Source organism: Homo sapiens, chromosome 1, assembly GCF_000001405.40.
Source record: "Homo sapiens chromosome 1, GRCh38.p14 Primary Assembly".
NCBI lineage: Eukaryota > Metazoa > Chordata > Mammalia > Primates > Hominidae > Homo > Homo sapiens.
The window spans coordinates 84,753,027-84,758,066 of record NC_000001.11 but is presented as its reverse complement, the minus strand read 5'-3'; the positions used below and the strand labels follow the sequence as shown (position 1 = coordinate 84,758,066).

Below are 5,040 nucleotides of genomic sequence, written 5' to 3'. Positions count from 1 at the left end.
TTTGTGGCATTGACATAAGGGGAGGTCTGGGTGGCTTTGAAATACGCCCTGTTTCTGCTATTTACTCAGTGAAGCGCATGGAGTTGTCTTTCTCCCTAGCCAGTGAATAAAATCTGAAAGTATAAAATTTAATTTGTAAGACTGAGAAGTACGAAATCTGATATTTGTATATCCCAGCAAGCGTTACCTAACACTAGATCAAGGCCGATTTCCAGAGACTGTCAGTATCTAAAAGGATGCTCTACCCTGGCCAGAGTAAAGCAGTTTTAATATCGAGTCATTTTCATTGAGCCTTCATGAGAAAATGAGGTGTGCTTCAGCTCCCGGAGCCTCAGAGTTGGGAAAGAGCAACTCCTTAGAGTAGGGGTTGGCAAAGTTTTTCTGTAAAGGAGCAGATAGTTGGCATTTTAGGCTTTGTGGGTGGAGGCAAAATTGAACAACTATTCTCACTAAAAGGCTTTTTTTAATTTTACAATTTCAGTTTAAAATGTAAAGACTATTCTTAGCTCTCAGGCTGTACAAAATTTGCGGCAGTCTGGATTTGACCAGCAGGTGGACTTTCAAAGTCCCTCTGCAGCGTTCTCATAGGTGGCTGTCTGCACTTAGCTTACGTTCCTCTAAGCCACAGAAAGCTCACCACCTCCCAAGGTCAATAAATCCGCTTTAAAGGAGGCTAAAATGGCTAGAAAGCACTTTTTTATATTGAATTAGAATTTGCCTACTGTATCTTATAACTGAAGCATTACTTTAAGAACTGATTTAAATCATTTTAAGACTGATTTAAATTTCTAGAAATAGTTTTTGATGGAAATCATTCTCTATTCCCTATTCTACTGCCTAGTAGCCATGTTCTAAAGTTGCCTTCGTGTGTTCCAGTCATTATGAAAATAAATTATTGTACTGTGCTGTAATGCAAATTGAAACCCTCAAGACCATTGGGGTTTACAAAGCTATTTGCCTTTATACTAAATATCTCCACACTGCAATGCTCCATGAATTCTTGTTTCTTTTTTTCTTTCAGTTTTTCTACCTGATTACTTATTACAAGGATGCTATCCATGTCTCTCCTTCTTCTTGTCTGTGTGCCTACTGAAACAGTTCACCTCCTCCTCCTAATTAAATGTCTCTAATCTTCCATGGGCTAAAAGTAGCTCTCCATGAGAAAAGATCCCAGGAGCCCTGGGGCCTTTGGTATTTGACTTGAGAACTTTCATCAATAAAGTATTTAAACCACTTGGAGCCTCCTGCTCGCTCTCTTCTCTCTCTCCCCTTCTCTCTCTCTCCCCCCTCCCCCCCTCTCACCCTCTCTCTCACCCCCCCTCACCCCCTCAATACTAGATAGGCTTTTGAGTAAATGTGAAAGTTTTCTAAAAGTCATTATCACCATCTGTGAAATTTGCTGACTATAAATTCCTTGAGGACAAGTGACTTTCTTTCTGAATTTCACAGCCTTAGAGCCTAGTCCAATGCTTCACATACAGTAGAAGTTCAATAAATGGTTCTGAAGGACTGAAAGAATAAGAGGTTTGAGGGTCGTGCTAGGCTGATTTGTTCCAGCATATCTCAATTTTTAGTGGAGGTTTATTGTGTTTGTTTTATTAACACTAACGTTAGGGCTATTAAATAATATCACTTAGAAACCAAAAGAAATTAACCCTCAGGGGTACAATTTGATATAAATAGAGGTAGGCAATTTTCAGTATGCTCTCTATTTCTACAGACCCAACATGGGCTCTCGTGAAACCTGGATCTATGGGATTTATGTAAATGTGAACAGGCTGCACCAGGCTCACAGACTGGCTGTGTAGAAGTGGTCTCTGTTTGTCGTTCAGATGTTGGGAGGTAACAGTGAGCTTTAACTAATTACACCTCAAATCACCCCCAGGAGGTAGGTAATGATTATAGATGTACTTGGCTGAGGTAACTCAGAATGTCTTAATAATCACTTAATAGAATCTTATCATGAGAAGCAAATTGCATTAAATAGGCAAATGAAGTTGACGGTGAGAAGCAGAGTTAGGAAATAAAATGCTATGGGGGGTTTTATATGGGAAAAATCCAATTAACACCTTTTTAAAAGAGTTGGCCCCATGGCTTTTTTCATATCGCTCACAGTACCTATCACAGGGTTATGCCCTGAATAAACACTTTCTCAATCGATGCTAAAGAAATTATAGGTAAAAATGAAGGAGGAAGTGGGAGGTGCACCTAGAAGCCAACATTACAATTCTACTTAGAAGCAAATGGCAAAATAATTTCATTGTGAAGCTACTGTGCAAGCTTTGCAACGATGGTCCATTTCTTCCTTATTCTCGAGGAAAATGACCATCGTCATGTAATAAACACAAAACGCCAACCAGATAGATTGCATACGTACACATGAATGTGCTCTGGACTTAACCAAATTTGTGAAACCCTAGGGCTGGAAGAGCCAAGCCCAAGTGTTAAGGCAGCAAGATGACAAGAAGCTTGGCCAAAAGAGTTTGCGGGTGGAAGACACACTAGGAATTTTGTGTCCCACCCAAAGATAAGGAGACATCATGGAAGCTGCTGGAGACTTTTGTGACAGTGGGTGGGGTAAAAGAAGGGGTGGATTTTCCTCGGGTGAAATGATTTTGGGAGCATGTGGTCACTGTCAAAGCTGTGCTTTTCAAGAAAACCAAAGGGCGGCAGGAATGAAGAAAATCCAGACAGCCCATTCGCGATGCACAGATCCAACAGGCAGAGCCCAGGGGATGAGGTGTAGGGAGGCCAGCGGAAGGTGCTGCGGGGGTGGGAGGAGGTCAGATTCTGGGACAGGCCAAAGCGGTACAGACCAAAAAGTTGTGTGCCTGAGACTCAAACTGGACCAAAGTCGAAAGAACAGTCAAGACTGCACTCCAGAAATAGCACGAGATAATTGCATCATTAAGTGGAATTTTACGCCTAAATTGTATACATGTATGTGTACAGATGTATATATACACATATATTTATAAATGTGTATGTGTATTTCACACACACACACGACTTTCACTTTCATACTTTCACAGTTCCCTGTCATATGACCTTTTTTCTTACATAAGGGACATGCATCTGATTAAACAATGAACACATATTTATTATTTTTTAAAAATAAAATGAGCGGGGTGCGGAGTGGAGTGGAAGCACATGCCGCTAGCAAAATGGGCACCGGGGCTTCGGTCTTCGCTGAGAGAAATTGTCTCCATTTTCATATGAAGGACAAGATGGACCCTAAAGCAAATAATAATGTTTAGGAGAGCGCTGGGATCTATTTTTTCTCGCAATGTAAAGAAATTTTACCCCAGCTTTCCTCCTGGGTTAGCTCTATCAATATTAGGAGCCTTTCTGCAACCATGGTTTGTCTGCACTTCCTTTACTTAACACCTCCATTTGCTGCCATTTGCCTACCGCGGCGATGGTGTCGGGCATTGGCAGCGTCACTAAATCACCCTCATTTCCCGGCCCTATGACTGAAGCGGGCCCGGGCCATTATCGCCTAATGGCGTGTTCTGCTGCTGCGGCTCTTCTCAAATCCGCGATGGACAGGCCTCAGGATGCATTTTAGCGTCATTGTAATTGAGCGCGGAACGCTCTGGCTTTTTTAGACCTGTTTTCCGGTCTTGTAGGGGGTGACCGACGAGAGATAGCAAGCAGGTGCGATGGGCAGTGGGGGGGTCACCTTTTCACACCGAGGACAGCAGCAGCAAAGAACGATTCGCTGGGGGACGGAGGAAATGAGAAGCTAGGGCAGGCTTTTCAGCATCACCTAAAGACTTGAGTTGTCAAATGCAGCGTCCCTGCCAGCGCTGATTCTGCCCAGAGCGGCTCTGCTAACCTAATGGGTTTCCAAAATCTCCTCTGAGTGCTCAGATGTGAATCACCGACTTCCAGAATGCATGCTGTCTCTCAGCGGCACAGATTCCTGCTGGCCCCCTGGGGAATTTTAATAACATGTCATTTAACAAATTAGAAGGTGAAGCAAATTAAATACAGTAAATCAAAGCAAAGCTTGAAAAACAAAGTAGAATCAAGCAGGCCTTTTCAAAGCATGCAGATTTGAAAAATGTAAGGTTTCCAAATGGTTAGCAAAAAAGGGAAAAGTTACCATAGCAACTCCTAAAGTCTGTCTAGCTAGTGGCCACATGCTTTCAAGTGTCCTACTCTATAGTGGGAGATATTTGAGGGCAGTTTCTAGATTTTTTTTAAATTAAGGAAATGAATAAACAAGCTTAATGGATTAGTATCCACATTAAATTACAAGCATCAGCCTTCCAAGGCCTGAGATTTCTGGCAAGGAACAGCTGCTGTGGGTAATGCGGACTGGCCACTTGGTGTCGCTGTTGTTCCGCTGCTGGGTTCTGCAGCGCTGTCCCCCGCTGGTGAGATGTCCTCCCTTTCAAGTAGATGCTTTCTGTGAGCCGCCCTAACATGCATTTATTCAAAATGTATTTATAGTGTCTGCCATGTGCCAGAAACCATGCGAGTCTCTGGGGATAGGCTGGTGAACAGTTTGTGGAGTTCACAGTCTAGCAAGAGAGACAACCAAACAAATGAAATAATTACACTTTGTGATTAGGTCTATGAAGGAAAAGATCAGACTCCTAGGATGGAGACTAAGGTGGGCAACAGCTTTTTTGCAAAGTCGTCAGAGAAGACCTGTCTGATGACTTATTAGGCTGAGACCTGAAGGATAAGAAGGGCCGTGGACCTGGAAGGGATAGGTGAAGAGTGTACGAAGAAGAGGGACAGCGAAGCCCACCAGGGCTGCTGCACAATGAGGGAAGAGGTTGTGGCCAGGGATGAGCAGGTAGGGACCGGATCATGCAGAAACCTTTAGGCCAGGGTCACGCTTCTGTTCAGATGTTATTCCTGGCCAAAGGAAATGTCTTGAAGATAATTCGATTATTATTATTTGTTTAAATAATTTCCTTTTCACACCGTATTGCAGTTCCCACTGTATCACCTGTTGCTTTAGACACGTGAACACTTAGAAAATGCATATTCAATATTATAACAATTTAATTTTTTAACACAGCT

The 5,040-nt window shown here is 42.7% G+C and overlaps 2 annotated features.

Annotated features, from left to right (window-relative positions):
- Window positions 859-1,430: an enhancer, noted in NCBI's record as "OCT4-NANOG hESC enhancer chr1:85222320-85222891 (GRCh37/hg19 assembly coordinates)". NCBI's record gives its function as "activates a minimal SCP1, AML or CMV promoter by ChIP-STARR-seq in primed H9 embryonic stem cells {active_cell/tissue: H9 hESC(primed)}" and the evidence as "EXISTENCE:reporter gene assay evidence [ECO:0000049][PMID:30033119]".
- Window positions 4,373-4,422: a silencer, noted in NCBI's record as "silent region_1025". NCBI's record gives its function as "represses an Ori minimal core promoter by ATAC-STARR-seq in GM12878 lymphoblastoid cells {active_cell/tissue: GM12878}" and the evidence as "EXISTENCE:reporter gene assay evidence [ECO:0000049][PMID:35858748]".